The sequence below is a fragment of the Homo sapiens genome, chromosome 16, assembly GCF_000001405.40.
Source record: "Homo sapiens chromosome 16, GRCh38.p14 Primary Assembly".
In the NCBI taxonomy this organism is placed as follows: Eukaryota; Metazoa; Chordata; class Mammalia; order Primates; family Hominidae; genus Homo; species Homo sapiens.
Window position 1 is genome coordinate 58686577 of NC_000016.10, and position 15979 is coordinate 58702555.

At 42.9% G+C, this 15979-nt stretch overlaps 2 annotated features.

Moving 5' to 3' along the window:
- Window positions 11760-11926: a silencer, noted in NCBI's record as "fragment chr16:58732240-58732406 (GRCh37/hg19 assembly coordinates)". NCBI's record gives its function as "represses an EF-1alpha promoter that drives an FKBP-Casp9 reporter gene in an ReSE screen in K562 erythroleukemia cells {active_cell/tissue: K562}" and the evidence as "EXISTENCE:reporter gene assay evidence [ECO:0000049][PMID:32094911]".
- Window positions 13454-13682: a silencer, noted in NCBI's record as "fragment chr16:58733934-58734162 (GRCh37/hg19 assembly coordinates)". NCBI's record gives its function as "represses an EF-1alpha promoter that drives an FKBP-Casp9 reporter gene in an ReSE screen in K562 erythroleukemia cells {active_cell/tissue: K562}" and the evidence as "EXISTENCE:reporter gene assay evidence [ECO:0000049][PMID:32094911]".

The window sequence follows — 15979 nt, forward strand, 5'->3', positions numbered from 1 at the left end:
TGCTTGGATTACAGGCATGAGCCACCATGCCTGGTCTTGTTTCTTCTTATAAGTGAACTAATCCTGCGGCTGGGTGTGGTGGCTCACGCCTGTAATTCCAGCACTTTGGGAGGCCGAGGCAGGTAGATCATGAGGTCAGGAGTTCAAGACCAGCCTGACCAACATGGTGAAACCCCATCTCTACTAAAAATACAAAACAAATTAGCTGGGTGTGGTGGCATGCGCCTGTAATCCAGCTACTCAGGAGGCTGAGGCAGGAGAATTGCTTGAACCCAGGAGGCAGAGGTTTCAGTGAGCCGAGATCGTGCCACTGCATTCCAGCCTGGGTGACAGAGTAAGACTCTGTCTCAAAAAAAAAAAAAATAGTACTAATCCCATCATGAGGGCTTTAATTACCTAATTACCTCCCAAAGGCACGTCTCCAAATACTATCACGTTGGGGATTAGGGTTTCCACATATCAGTTTGGGATGAACACAAACATTCAGTTCATAGACCACACAGTCTGTAATTTTCTAAGATTGCCTTTTTTTTTTTAACTCAGTAAAATTCCCTAGAAGAGATTCATCTAAGCTATATACGTCAACACAGATAGGTTTTATTGCTGAGTAGTATTCAGTGGTATGTATGTACCACAGTTTACTTACCCATCACTCTTTGAAGGACATTTGAATTGTCTGCCTTTTTTTTTTTAACATAGCTTTATTGAGGCCAGGCATGGTGGCTCATGCCTGTAATCCCAGTACTTTGGGAGGCTGAGGCAGGCAGATCATTTGAGGTCAGGAGTTCGAGACCAGTCTGGCCAACATGGTGAAACTCTTGTCTCTACTAAAAATACAAAAATTAGCTGGGTGTGGTGGTGCATGTCTGTAATCCCTGTTACTCAGGAGGCTGAGTCACGAGAATCACTTGAACCTGGGAGGTGGAGGCTGCAGTGAGCCGAGATTGCGCCACTGCACTCCAACTTGGGCAACAGAGTGAGACTCTGCCTTGGAAAAAAAAATTTAAAAAATAAGAATAGTTTTGTTGAGATATTCGTATGCCATAAAATCCACCCTTTGAAAGAGTCCAATAAGGTGCATTTTAGTTTCTTCAGAGTTGTGCAATGATGACCACTATCTAATTTCAGAATATTGTGATCACCCTCCCCTACTAAAATCCTGAACCCATTAGCAGTCACTTCCCATCTCCCCCTCCACCAAGCCCCTGGCAACTCTGAATCTACTCTTTGCTTCTGTGGGTTTGCCTATTCTTGACCTTTCATATAAATTGAGTCACACAATATGTGACCTGTTCTGTCTGCTTCTTTCACTGAGCATACTGTTTTCAGTGCTCATCCTAGTTGGAACATGAACCAGTATTTCATTCATTTTTATTGCTGAATAATGTTCTGTTGTATGGCTATACCACATGTAGTGTGGCAGGTCCCCCATCAGGTTACTTGGAGGTGTATATCCACTGCTTGAATCCTGAATGCTGGGTGGTGAGCCAAGGCCATGGTGCCCAGCCTAGGAGCAGATATTCCTGAGAACTCAAACATCCTGGAGAGGATCTGAGAATCTACCAAGGAAAACAGTCCCACTGCATACACGCAGTAGGCAAAGAGCTAGAAAATTAGCTTAAAAATGGCTTAGAGATGGGAGGTGGCGCGGATCTCTAGCACTGTCCTGCTGCTGTCAAGGAGTGTCCCGTATGTAAGTCCTCAAACTCATCTACTCGCCAAGCTGGACTTGCCTGAGTCATTCTCTGGTCTCTCAACTGCCTCCAAGTTTGGGGGAAGGTTTTTCGTACAATTCAGTGTTTTTCTCATTACACCACATTTTTTTATCTGTTCAGTAGTTGATATTTGTGTTATTTTTTCTTTTTGGCTACTGTGAATAATGGTGCTGTGAACATTCATGTACAAGGTTGTTTTATTTGAGATGGAATTTCGCTCTTTTTGCCCAGGTTGGAGTGCAATGGCATGATCTTGGCTCACTGTAACCTCTGCCTCCTGGGTTCAAGCGATTCTCCTGCCTCAGCCTCCCGAGTAGCTGGGATTACAGGTGCCCACCCCCACGCCCAACTAATTTTGTATTTTTAGTAGAAATGGGGTTTCATCATGTTGGCCAGGCTGGTATCGAGCTCCTGACCTTGGGTGATCCGCCTACCTCGGCCTCCCTCATGGACTAGTTTTTGTGTGGACATATGTTTTCATTTCTCTTGGGTATACATGTAGAAGTGGAATTGATGGATCAGATGGTAACTCTATGTTTAACCTTTTAAAAATTATTTTATTGGCCGGGTGCGGTGGCTCACGCCTGTAATCCCAGCACTTTGGGAGGCTGAGGCGGGTGGATCACGATGTCAGGGGATCTAGACCATCCTGGCTAACACGGTGAAACCCTGTCTCTACTAAAAATACAAAAAAATTAGCCAGGTGTGGTGGCATGCGCCTGTAGTCCCAGCTAGTCGGGAGGCTGAGGTAGGAGAACTGCTTGAACCTGGGAGGTGGAGGTTGCAGTAAGCCGAGATTGCACCACTGCACCCTAGCCTGGGTGACAGAGCAAGACTCTGTCTCAGAAAAAAAAAGTATTTTGTTATTATTATTATTATCATTTTAGAGACAGGGCCTTGCTCTGTTGCCCAGGCTGCTGCTCAGCACAAAATCCTGGGCTCAAGTGATCCTCCCACCTCAGTCTCCCAAGTAGCCAGGACTGCAGATGTGTGCCACCATGTCCAGCTAATTTTTAAATTTTTTGCAAAGACAGGGTCTTGCTGTGTTGTCCAGGCTAGTCTTGAATTCCTGGGCTCAGGCAATCCTTCCACCTCAGCCTCCCAAAGTGCTAGGAATACAGGTGTGAGACACTGTGCTACTCCTACAACTGTTTTGTATATTGATCTTACACCCTACAATTCTGTTGAACTTATTTACTAGCTCTAATAGTTTTATTAGTGGAATCTTCAACATAAGATTATAAAACCTGTAAATAGAGATAATTTTATATCTTCCTTTCTAATCTGGATTCCTTTTATTTTCTAGCCTTGACTGTACCAGAACCTCCAGTACAATGTTGAATGAAGTGATGAGAGTGGACATCCTTGTTTTGTTCCTTGTTTCAGGAGACAATCATTCAGCGGTTCATTATTAAGTATGATGTTGCCTGTGGATTATTTGTAGATGCCTTTTATCAGGGTAGGAATTTCCTGTGTATTCCTAGTGTGTTGAGTGTTTTTTATCATGAATGGGTGTTGGATTTTGTCAAATGGTGGGGTTTTTTTTCTGCTTCTATTGAGATGATTATGTGATGTTTCTACTTTATTTTATCGATGTGGTATGTACATTGATTTTCCTATGTTGAATCAATTTTGCATTCCTGGGATTAATATTTCTTGGTGATGGTGTAGTCTATGTGAAGCTGTCAAATCCTCAGTTTTTCTTGGTGGGAAGTCTTTGGATTCTTCATTCAATCTCTTAATTGTAAGTCTATTCAAATTTTCTATTTCTCTTTGAGTCAGTTTTGGTAGTGTTTTTCTTTGAGATGGGGTCTCACTCTGTCACCCAGGCTGGAGTGCAGTGGCACGATCTTGGCTAACTGCAACCTTTGCCTCCTGAGCTCAAGTGATCCTCCCACCTCCCAAGTAGCTGGGACCACAGGCATGTGCCACCACACCTGGCTAATTTTCTGTATTTCTGGTAAAGATGGAATTTTGCCATGTTGGCCAGGCTGGTGTCGAACTCCTGACCTCAAGTGATCTGCCCGCCTTGGCCTCCCAAAGTGCTGGGATTACAGGTGTGAGCCACCACGCCTAGCCAGTTTGGGTTAGTGTTTTTCTAGGAATTTGTCCATTTAATGTAGGTTATCTGGCTTGTTGGCATATATTTTTCATAGTATTCTCTTATAATCCTTTTTATTTCTATAAGGGCAGTATTAATGGCTTTTATTTCATTCCTGATTTTAGCAATATGAGTCTTCTCTTTCTTGGTCAGTGTAGTTAAAGCTTTGTCAGTTGTATTGATTCTTAAAAAGAAACAATTTTTTTATTTTGTTGATTTTCTCTATTTTTCTATTGTGTTTCCTGTATTTTAGCTCTAGTTTTTATTATTTTCTTTTCTTCTGCTTGCTTTGGGTTTAATTTGATCTTTTATTTACAGTTTCTTAAGATGGAACATTAGGTTATTGAATTAAGATCTTTCTTCTTTCTTTTTTTTTTTTTGACGGAGTCTCGCTTTGTCGCACAGGCTGGAGTGCAGTAGTGCGATCTCGGCTCGCTGCAACCTCTGCCTCCTGGGTTGAAGTGATTCTCCTGCCTCAGCCTCCCATGTAGCTGGGATTACAGGCACGTGCCACCACGCCTGGTAATTTTTTGTATTTTTAGTAGAGATGGGGTTTTACCACGCTGGCCAGACTGGTCTCGAATTCCTGACCTCAGGTGATCCACCTGCCTTGGCCTCCCAAACTGCTTGGATTACAGGCATGAGCCAACGCACCTGGCCAACATCTTTCTTCTTTTTTTAACACAGGCATTTATAGCTACGCACTGCTTTAACTACTTCCCAGAAGATTTGATATGTGTTTTCATTTTCATTAAAATATTTTCTATTTTCCCTTGTGATTTCTTCTTTAACTGATGCTATTCAGTAGTATATTGTTCAACATCCATGTATTTATAAATTTCCCAAATTTCCTTTTGTGATTGATTCCTAGTTTCATTCCACTGTGGTCGGAGAACATACTTTGTGTGATTTCAGTCCTTTTATGTTTATGGAGGCTTGTTTTATGGCCTAATGTATGGGCTACTCTGGAGAATGTTCCATGTGCATTTGAGAAGACTGCATATTCTGCTCTTGTTGGGTCAAGTGTTCTATAGATTGTCTATTAGGTGTAGCTGGTTGATTTATGGTATCGTTGAAGCCTTCTCTTTTCTTGTTGACCTTCTGCCTAGTTGTTATATCCATTCTTGAAAGTATGAGGCTGGGAGCAGTGGCTCATGCCCATAATCCAATCACTTTTGGAGGCTGAGGCAGGAGGATTGTTGAACTCAGTAGTTTGAGACCAGCCTGGGCAACATAGTGACATCTCATTTCTACTAAAAATTAAAAAAATTAGCCAGGTGTGGTGGCACATGCCTGTGGTCCCAACTACTCAGGAAGATGAGATGGGAGCATTGCTTGAGCCCAGGAAGTTTGAGACTGGAATGAGTTGTGCTCACGCCACTGCACTCCAGCCTGGGTGACAGAGCAAGACCCCATCTCAAAAAAAAAAAAAAAAAAAAAAGATTGTCTTTTGTCAACAGCATGTAGTTGGATCTTTTAAATAAAAAAATCCCTTCTGCTAGTATCTGTCTTTTAATTGTAGTGTTTAATTCATTTACATTTAATGTAATTACTAGTAAGGTAGGCTTTACATCTGCCATCGTGCTGTTTGTTTTCTATATGTCTTTTGGTTGTTGTTGTTGTTATTCCTCTGTTCCTCCATTATTGTCTTATTTTGTGTTAAGTACATATTTTCTAGTCTATCATTTTATTCCCTTGTGATATTTTACTTTTATCATTTGAATATGTCCCCCAAAATTCATGTGTCAGAAACTTAATACCTAATGCAACAGTGTTGGGAGGTGAGGCCACATAAGAGGTGATTAGGTCATGAGCGCTCTGCCCTGATGAATGGACTAATATCATTATTGTGGGAGTGGGTTAGTTATCATGAGATTGGGCTTATTACTGAAGCAAGTTCTGGACTGCGGACGGTGGCTCACACCTGTGATTTTTAGCACTTTGGGAGGCTGAGGTAGGCCTCACTTGAGGCCAGGAGTTCAAGACCAGCCCAGTGAACATAGCTGTCTCTACAGAAAAGAAAAAGTAGCCAGGCATGCTGTCTCATGCCTGTAGTCCCAACTATTCAGGAAGCTGAGGCAGGAGGATTGCTTGAGTTCAGGAGTTTGAGGCTGCAGTGAACTATGATCCTGCCACTGTACTCCAGCCTGAATGACAGAGCGAGATCCTGTCTTAAAATAAAAATAAAAATAAAAATAAAAATAAGTGTTCCACCTTCTGCCATGGGATGACTCAGCATGAAGGCCCTCACCAGATGGCAGCACCATGCTCTTGGACTTCCCAGTCTCTAGAACCATGAGCCAAATAAACTTCTATTGCTTATAAATTCTCCAGTCTGTGGTATTCTGTTACAGCAACTCAAAATGGACTAAGACATTTACTATATACAGTTTTGAGTGATTTTCTTAGTGGTTGCCCTGTGGATTATAATTAATGTTAGTACAACAATCTAGTTAGAATTAATACCAATTTAATTCACTTGGTTCCAAATCTTTGCTTCTATATCCTTTTGTTCTCTTCCCCTATATGTTACTTCAGTATGACAAGAGTTTATATACATTATAAACCCATCAACATAGTTTTACTGTTAAATTAAAAAAATTCTTTTTCTGACAGAGGGTCTCACTCTGTCATGCAGGCTGGAGTGCAGTGGCACAATGCTGACTCACTGCAACCTCTGTCTCCCGGGTTCAAGCTATTCTCCCACCTCAGCCTCCTGAGTAGCTGGGACTACAGGCATGCATTACCACTAAAAATACCTAATTTTTGTATTTTTAGTAGAGACAGGGTTTCACCATGTTGGCCAGGCTGCTCTCAAACTCCTGACCTCAAATTATCTGCCCACCTTGGCCTCCCAAAGTGCTGGGATTACAGGCATGAGCCACTGAGCTTGGCTCCATCAACATAGTTTTATAATTCTTACTTTATGCAGTTGCCTTTTAAATGAGAGAGCATGGCCAGGTGTGATGGCTCATGCCTGTCATCCCAGCACTTTGAGAGGTGGATATGAGTGGATCACTTAAGCCCAGGAGTTTGAGATCAGCCAGGGCAACAAGGTGAAACCCCATCTCTACCAAAAAAAAAAAAAAAAATTAGCTGGGTATGGGGGTGTGCACCTGTAGTCCCAGCTACTGGAGAGGCTGAGGCGGGAGAACTGCTGAGCCTCGGAGGCAGAGGTTGTAGTGAGCTGAGGTTGCACCACTGTACTCCAGCCTGGGGGACAGAGCAAGACTGTGTTTTAAAAAATAAAAAATAAGTAGGGAACACAAGAAAAGTGTTATACACAAAAAAATGCATTTGTACTACTTTTAATATTTACTATGTAGTTACTTTTACTGGTGCTCTTTATTTCTTCATTCAAATTACTGTCTAGTGTCCTGTTATTTCAGCCTTAAGGATTTCCTTGAATATTTCTTATAGGACAGATCTGCTAGCAACAATTTTCTCTGTTTTCATCTGGGAATGTCTTAATTTCTCTGTTTTTGAAGGATAGTTTTGCTGGATGCAGAATTCTTAATTTATGGTCTTTTTCTTTGAGCACTTTGCATGTGTCTCCTCACTGCCTCCGGCCTCCATGGTTTCTGATGAGAAACCAGTTGTTAAGCTCACTGAGGAGCCCGGTATGTGTTCCTTCTCTTGCTGCTTTCAAATTTCTCTCTTTGACTTTGGATAGTTTATGATGTTTCTAGGTATGGATCTCTTTAAGATTATCTTAGGCCGGGCGCGGTGGCTCACGCCTATAATCCCAGCACTTTGGGAGGCCAAGGTGGGCGGATCACGAGGTCAGGAGATCGAGACCATCCTGGCTAACATGGTGAAACCCCGTCTCTACTAAAAATACAAAAAATTAGCTGGGCGTGGTGGCGGGCGCCTGTAGTCCCAGCTACTCGGGAGGCTGAGGCAGGAGAATGGCGTGAACCTGGGAGGCGGAGCTTGCAGTGAGCCGAGATTGCGCCACTGCACTCCAGCCTGGGCAACAAAGTGAGACTCCGTCTCAAGGAAAAAAAAAAAGATAAAAAAAGATTATCTTAGAGTTTCTTGGATGTGTAGATAATGTTTTTCTCAACTTTGGAAAGTTTTCCATCATTATTTCTTCAAATATTCTTTCTGCTCCCTTCTCGCTCTCTTGAGACAGCCATTATGTATATGTTGGTATGCCTGATGGTGTCTCACAGGTCTCTGAAATTCTGTTCATTTTTCTTCATTCTTTTTTTTTGAGACAGTCTGGTTCAGTCACCGAGGCCGGAGTGCAGTGTTGTGATCTTGGCTTACTGCAACCTCCCTCTCCTGGGTTCAAGTGATTCTCATGTCTCAGCCTCCTGAGTAGCTGGGATTACAGGCACATGCCACCATGCTCGACTAATTTCCATATTTTTAGTAGAGACGGGGTTTCACCTTGTTGGCCAGGCTGGTGTGGAACTCCTGGCTTCAAGTGATCTGCCCTCCTCAGCCTCCCAAAGTGCTGGGATTACAGGTACAGCCAGCCCTCATTTTTCTTCATTTTTTTTCTTTCTCTTCCATAGGCCGGATAATCTCAATTGATGTATCCTCATGTTCAGTGATTCTTCTGTCAGCACAAATTTACTATTGAGCCCTTGTATTAAATTTTTAATTTCAGTTATTACTGTACTTTTTAACTCCAGAATTTCTATTTGGGTCTTTTTAATAATATCTATTCATTGATAGTCTCTATATGACAGGACGCTGTTCTCATACTTTTCTGTAGTTGTTCAGACATAATTTCCTTTCACTCTTTGCCTATGTGATTCCAAGTCTTTGTCTAGTAAGTCTAATGCCTGGGCTTGGGCTTCCTCAGGGACAGTTTCTATTGACTGCTTTTTTCCCTATGTATGGACCATACTTTCCCATTTCTTTACATTTTTCATAATGTTTTTGAAGACTAGACATTGAAAAATAATATAATATGGAAATCCAAAAATTGGAGTTTGTTGCTGCTACCTTTTCTGTAGTGACCTTCCTGGACTAATTCTTTAAAGTCTGTATTCTTTGCTGTGTGTGGCCACTGAAGTCTCCTCTGAGTTAGTTTAGTGAATTTGATAGATTTCCTTAAATGCCTTGAACCAGTAAGTATCCCAGCCCGTTTGATTTTAATTCTCTGGTTGGCAGTTTATCCCTCTGTCCTGGACTTCACTTTCTGCTTGCACAGAGCCTCAAGGCCAGCCAGAAGTGAGAGATTAGGATGTTCTTAGATCTTACCTGGACATGTGCACAGCCTGTGCCTGTTCATGGTTTTCTAGTTTTCCAGGAGAATGACAAACTTTTACTTACTTACTTCTTTTTTTTTTTTTTTGAGACAGAGTCTCACTCTGTTGCCCAGCCTGGAGTGCAGTGGCACAATCTTGGCTCACTGCAATATCCCCCTCCCGGTTCAAGCAATTCTCCCACCTCAGCCTCCCGAGTAGCTGGGACTACAGGTGTGCGCCATCATGCCCAGCTAATTTTTTTGCATTTTTTCATAGAGACTGGCTTTCACCATGTTGGCCAGGCTGGTCTTGAACTCCTGACCTCAAGTATCTGCCTGCCTTGGCTTCTCAAAGCACTGGGATTACAGTTGTGAGCCACTGCGCCTGGTCCTTACTTATTGAGACAGGATCTCACTCTGTCATCCAGGCTTGAGTGCAGTGGCATTATCATGGCTCACTGCAGCTTTGACCTCATGGGCTCAAGTGATCCTCCTGCCTTTGTCTCCCAAAATGTCGGGATTTTAGGTGTGAGCCACTCAAAACTTTTTAAAGGCCTCTATAGACAATTCATTCCCCAGCTTTTTTCTTTTGAAGTTATTTTTTTTTCTTTCTTAGTTTTTTTGAAACCAACTCTTGCTCTGTCACCCGGGCTGGAGTGCAGTGGAAAGATCTCGGCTCACTGCAACCTCCGCCTCCCAGTTCAAGTGAGTCTCATGCCTCAGCCTCCTGAGTAGCTAGGAATACAGGTGTGCACCTGCATACCCAGCTAATTTTTGTATTTTTAGTAGAGATGGGGTTTCACTGTGTTGCCCAGGCTGGTCTCAAACTCTTGAGCTCAAGAGATCCGCCTGCCTCAGCCTTCCAAAGGGCTGGGATTACAGGCATGAGCTACCGCACTGGTCCCTGACACCAGTTTTGAGTCTTTTGGTTTTTAAGGCTACCATGGAGCTGGGAGGAGGGGGATGGGAATAGGGCGTTAAATGCTACAAGTCTTGCCGTTCTTACTGAGGTTGTCATTTTTCTTGAATAAACTCTCCTGGGATTGTTGGAAGCCTTTGCTTCATTCCCAGAATGTTGATTTTGGCAATTTTTGACAGTATTCTCATTGCTTTTATGGAAGAGAAGATTCTCTCTTCCACATTGTGCCATTTCAAAAATGCTCTCATAAGAATCATTCTATTTTTTTTTTAGATGGATTTTTGCTCTTGTTGCCCAGGCTGGAGTGCAGTGGTGCGATCTTGGTTCACTGCAACCTCCACCTCCCAGGTTCAAGTGATTCTCCTGCCTCAGCCTCCCGAGTAGCTGGGATTACAGGCGCCCGCCACCACACCCGGCTAATTTTTGGGATTTTTAATATAGACAGGGTTTCACCATGTTGGCCAGGGTGGTCTCGAACTGCTGACCTCAGGTGATCCACCTGCCTCGGCCTCCCAAAGTGCTGGGATTACAGGTGTGAGCCACTACGCCTGGCCAAGAATTGTTCTTTATTTTCCACTTCCTCCAGTTTAGAGTAAGAGTTTGGATGGGGATCAATGTTCATATTGATGCAACCGAATTGAGATGGAGCAGATGACATTGTTCCTTAAACCGCTTTGCCTACAGGATCCAGTAATTCCTTAAGAAGACATAATGCACTTGGTGGTGTGGCCTCTGCCTGCCCTGCTAGACAGATCTCTTGCTACTCCAATTTTTAAGCTCTAACTTGCTTCCAGGCCTTCCATTATGCTTTTGCATCTGCTGTGGAATATCCTAAACTGGACCAACTTAGAATAGGTCTTCAGACATTTGTTGAAATTGAGAAAGAGAAGCTTTTTTTCTTTCTCTCTTTCTCTTTTTTTTTTTTTTTTTTGAGAGGGAGTGGAGTTATTAAAAACTCCTGGAGCTGCTAGTGAGTATCTTCTCACTGTTGAGAGGATGGCCTTCTCAAGAATGAAGCCAGTACCCGCCAGGCGCTGTGGCTCACGCCTGTAATCCCACCACTTTGGGAGGCCGAGGCAGGTGGATCACTCGAGGTCAGGAGTTCGATACCAGCCTGGCCAACATGGCGAAACCCCGTCTCTACTAAAAATACAAAAAATTAGCCGGGTGTGGTGGCAGGCACTTGTAATCCCAGCTACTTGGGAGGCTGAGGCAGGAGAATCGCTTGAACCTGGGAGGCAGAAGTTGCAGTGAGCCAAGATTGCACTACTGCAATCACTCCAGCCTGGGTATCTGAGCGAGACTCTATCTCAAAAAATAAAAATAAAAAAAAAAAAGAAGAAGAATGAAGCCAGTGCCAGAAGACGAAGAATGAAGCCAGTGCCAGCACCAGCAGCAAAAAAAGTGAAGCTGACAAATGGAGGCAGATTCTTGGCAACATAGAGCACTTGGCTCTGGCTGTTGGACCTACCAGCTAGAGAGCTAGAGCTACCGTTATATCAGCCTTGGGCTGTTCTCCAGTACATGTACATGAGGTAATTCCCTTTTTATTCTTGTGCCAGTCAAGCTGGCTTTTGGCACTTGCAACCAAAGGAGCCCTAATTGGTAAAGTCTATAGTGTCAAAGCCAAGATGGGGAAAAACAATAAAGGGTGCCTTCGAGTTCTAAGCACAAATGACCTGCCACAGTACTTGCTCAAAAATATTTATTGAAGGTTGCTATGGGCATCAAATAATCAAATAAGATCATGTACTTTTTTTTTTTTTTTTTTTGAGACGGAGTCTCACTGTTGGCCATGCTGGAGTGCAATGGTGCCATCTCGGCTCACTGCAACCTCCGCCTCCTGGGTTCAAGCGATTCTCCCTGCCTCAGCGTCCCAAGTAGCTGGGATTACAGGTGCCCGCCACCACACCTGGCTAATTTTTGTGTTTTTAGTAATGATGGGGTTTCACCATGTTGGCCAGGCTGGTCTCGAACTCCTGACCTCAAGTGATCTGCCTGCCTCGGCCTCCCAAGGCCTCCCAAAGTGCTGTGATTACAGGCATGAGGCACCGCGCCTGGCCGATCATGTCCATTTTTAAGTGCCATGTAAATAAAGGTAAGGGATTGTTAAATATAAGCCTGACAGAAATTCTCAGCTGCAATTCCTTCACATTGCTCCAGGAATTGGTCTGAAAAGATCTTTGGATATTGAGTAACTTCCTTTTTTAGATTTGGACATTTAGAGAATGGCCTTCATTTTTTTTCTTTAGTGTACATATACTTTTTACAAAAATCTTTTTTGAGATGGAGTCTCTCTGTCCCCCAGGCTGAAGTGCCATGGTGCGATCTCGGCTCACGGTAACCTCCAGCTTCCAGGTTCAAGCGATCCTCCCACCTCAGCCTCCTGAGTAGCTGAGACTATAGGCCGTGTGCCACCACACCCAACTAATTTTTGTATTTTTAGTAGAGTTGTGGTTTCACCATGTTGCCCAGGCAAGTGATCCTCCTGCCTTGGCCTCCCAAAGTGCTGGGATTATAGGTGTGAGCCACCACGCCTGGCCTATATTTTTTAATTAAAAAAAATTCTTTTTTAGAGACAAGGTCTCATTATGTTACCCAGACTGGACTTAAACTCCTGGACCCAAGTGATCCTCCTGCCTCAGCCTCCCAAATAGCTGGGACCACAGGCCTATGCTACTGCATCCAGTTAGAGAATGGCCTTCCTGTCTGCAGATTCCCCAAACCTACCACCTCACTGGGGACTTGACAGCAAGTTTTTACTGTTTTAAAACGAAACCATGTGGTTTTGTTTTTATCTTCCGCTTATTTCCTAAGCTCTGCCAACTCACTTATTCTCTTTTTATTGTTTTTTTTCCTTCCTTGATCTCTACGTTACATAATTGTCTTTCAGTGCTTTCAACATATGTGAGAATCTGTGGCCAAAATTTCCATTTTCTTTGTGGCATTATTTTGCTTTCTTTGGTATGCTCATTTGCCTTGTTTCTCCCACTCCTTTTTTTCTCCTAGTATGTTTTAAAGCTTATTTTAGGGCCGGACTTGGTGGCTCATGCCTGTAATCCCAACACTTTGGGAGGCCGAGGTGGGCGGATCATGAGGTCAAGAGATTGAGACCATCCTGGCCAACATGATGAAACCCCATCTCTACTAAAAATACAAAAATTAGCCGGGCATGGTGGCACACGCCTGTAATCTCAGCTACTTGGGAGGTTGAGGCAGGAGAATCGCTTGAACCCAGGAGGCGGAGGTTGTGGTGAGCCAAATTGTGCCACTGTACTCCAGCCTAGCGACAGAGCAAGATTTCATCTCAAAAAAAAAAAAAAAAAAAAAATTGAAGGGTAAGACACATATAGCAAAGTGACTAAAATATACTAAATTCAGCACATCCTGATGAATTTTTACTTATGTATTCACTTTTGTAACCATGACCCAGAGCAAGATTTAAAACATTTATAGCACAGCTCTTATAGCTTTTTTTTTCTTATCCCTATGACAGATTAAGCAATTTTTTTTTTCTTTTGGAGATGGGATATCACTATGCTGCCCAGGCTGGTCTTGAACTCCTGGGCTTAAGCAATCCTCCTGCCTCATCCCCTCAAAGTGCTGGGATTACAGGTGTGAGTCACTGAGTCCGGCCACATTAAGCATTTTTAATAGATTTTGTGCTGGTTCTTTAAAAAAATATATTTACTTTTATGTTAGGAACAACTTTACATGTAATAAATTTTAATTGAAATTTTTACAAGTGTTTATACATACATGCAACCACCACTCAGATTGATACAGAATGTTTCCAGCATCTCAGAAGCCTCTCTTGTATCCCAGGTAATATCCCCCTCTAGAAAAGGCAACCACTAGTCTGGCTGATGTCACCATAGATTAGTTTTGCCAGTTCATGAACTTCATATAAATTAAATTATACAGTATTTGCTCACTGGAGTCTAGTTTCTTTTGGTCAATACTATGAGATTCATCCAGGTTGCTCTAAGTAGCTATACATATATACACACACATATATATATAGCAATATATATGTACACACACATATATATAGCTATATATATACACACATATATATAGCTATATATATACACACACACATATATACATATATATATATATATATATATATATGTATTCCCCCCATGACTGTGAATTTTAAGAAACTATTCCTTTTTTTTTCTTTTTTTTTTTTTTTTGAGACAGAGACTCGCTCTGTCACCCAAGCTGGAGTTCAGTGGCACAATCTTGGCTCGCTGCAACCTCCGCCTCCCAGGTTCAAGTGATTCTTCTGCCTCAGCCTCCTAAGTAGCTGGGACTACAGATGTGCACTGCCACGCCCAGCTAACTTTTGCATTTTTAGTAGAGATGGGGTTTCATTGCCATGTTGGCCAGGCTGGTCTTGAACTCCTGACCTCAGGTGATCCACATACCTTGGCCTCCCAAAGTGCTGGGATTATAGGCATGAGCCACTGTGGCCAGCCAGAAACCCATTCTTCTAAGAGAAAAATTCATTCTTCTGTTGATGAATACTTGGGTTGTTTTTAGTGTTGGCAATTGATATAGTTTGGCTCTGTGTCCCCACCCAAATCTCATCTTGAATTGTAATCCCCATGTGTCGAGGGAGGGAGGTGACTGGATCATGGGGGTGGTTTTCCCCATGCTGTTCTCGTGAGAGTGAGTGAGTTCTCATGAGATCTGATGGTTTTATAAGCGTCTGGCATTTCCCCTGCTTGCACTTCTCTCTCCTGCCACCATGTGAAGAAGGTCCCTACTTCCCTTTCAACTTATGCCACGATTGTTAAGTTTCCTGAGGCCTTCCAGTCATGTGGAACAGTGAGTCAATTAAACCTCTTTCCTTTATAAATTACCCAGTCTCAGGTATTTCTTTTTCTTTTTCTTTTTTTTCTTGAGACAGAGTCTCGCTCTGTTGCCCAGGCTGGAGTGCAGTGGCGTGATCTTGGCTCACTGCAACCTCCGCCTCCCAGGTTCAAGCGATTCTCCTGCCTCAGCCTCCTGAGTAGCTGGGATTACAGGCATGTGCAACCATGCCTGGCTAATTTTTCTATTTTTAGTAGAGATGGGGTTTCACCATGTTGGCCAGGATGGTCTTGATCTCTTGGCCTCATGATCCGCCCGCCTCAGCCTCCCAAAGTGCTGGGATTACAGGCGTGAGCCACCGCGCCCAGCCAGTCTCAGGTATTTCTTTATAGCAGTGTGAAAACAGACTATACAGCAATTAAGAATAGGTATTGTGTATGTTCTTGTTCATGTCTTTGGGTTGACATATACAAATTTCTCGAGTGTATACCTAAGAATGGAATTGCTGGGTCATAGGATAGGAATATGCTATGGTTTTGATATGTGACTCCTCCAAATTTCATTTTGAAATTTGATCCCCAATGTTGCAGGTGGAGCCTAATGGGAAGTGTCTGGGTGATGGAGGTGGATTCCTCTTGAATGGCTTGGTGCTGTCCTCATGGTAATGAATTCTCACTCTATTAGTTGGCAGAAGTTTCCTTCACAGCTGACTGTTTAGAGGAGCCTGGTACCTCTCTTCCCCTCTCTTGCTTCCTGTCTCACCAAGTGATGTCTGCCTACACCAGCTCCCCTTTGCCTTTGCCAAGAGTGATAGAGGCCGGAGGTCCTCACCAGAGCAGATGCTGGTGTCATGCTTCTTGTACAGCTTGTAAAACCATAAGCCAAATAAAGCTCTTTTTATAAATTACCCTTGTCGTCTTTGCTCCGAGAATACTCACTGGCAACGCTTGTGGCTGCAGCATTTACCCTGAGATAAATTTGCCACGAAATATCTCGCTTTTATTATTTTTGTATTGTTCTAGTATATCAGCTTTGGAAACAAAAGACATCGTTCTATTTATAGCATTGTGTTTTTAGCAGTGGTATTTTCATTTACTACAGTAATTGCCTATCATTGAAAATGTCAAATCCTAGAAAATGTAGCATTCCTATGCATGATGTTAACATCATTCTCAAACAGTTGTTGGCCAAAGATTCATTTGATGAATCTGATTTTTCAA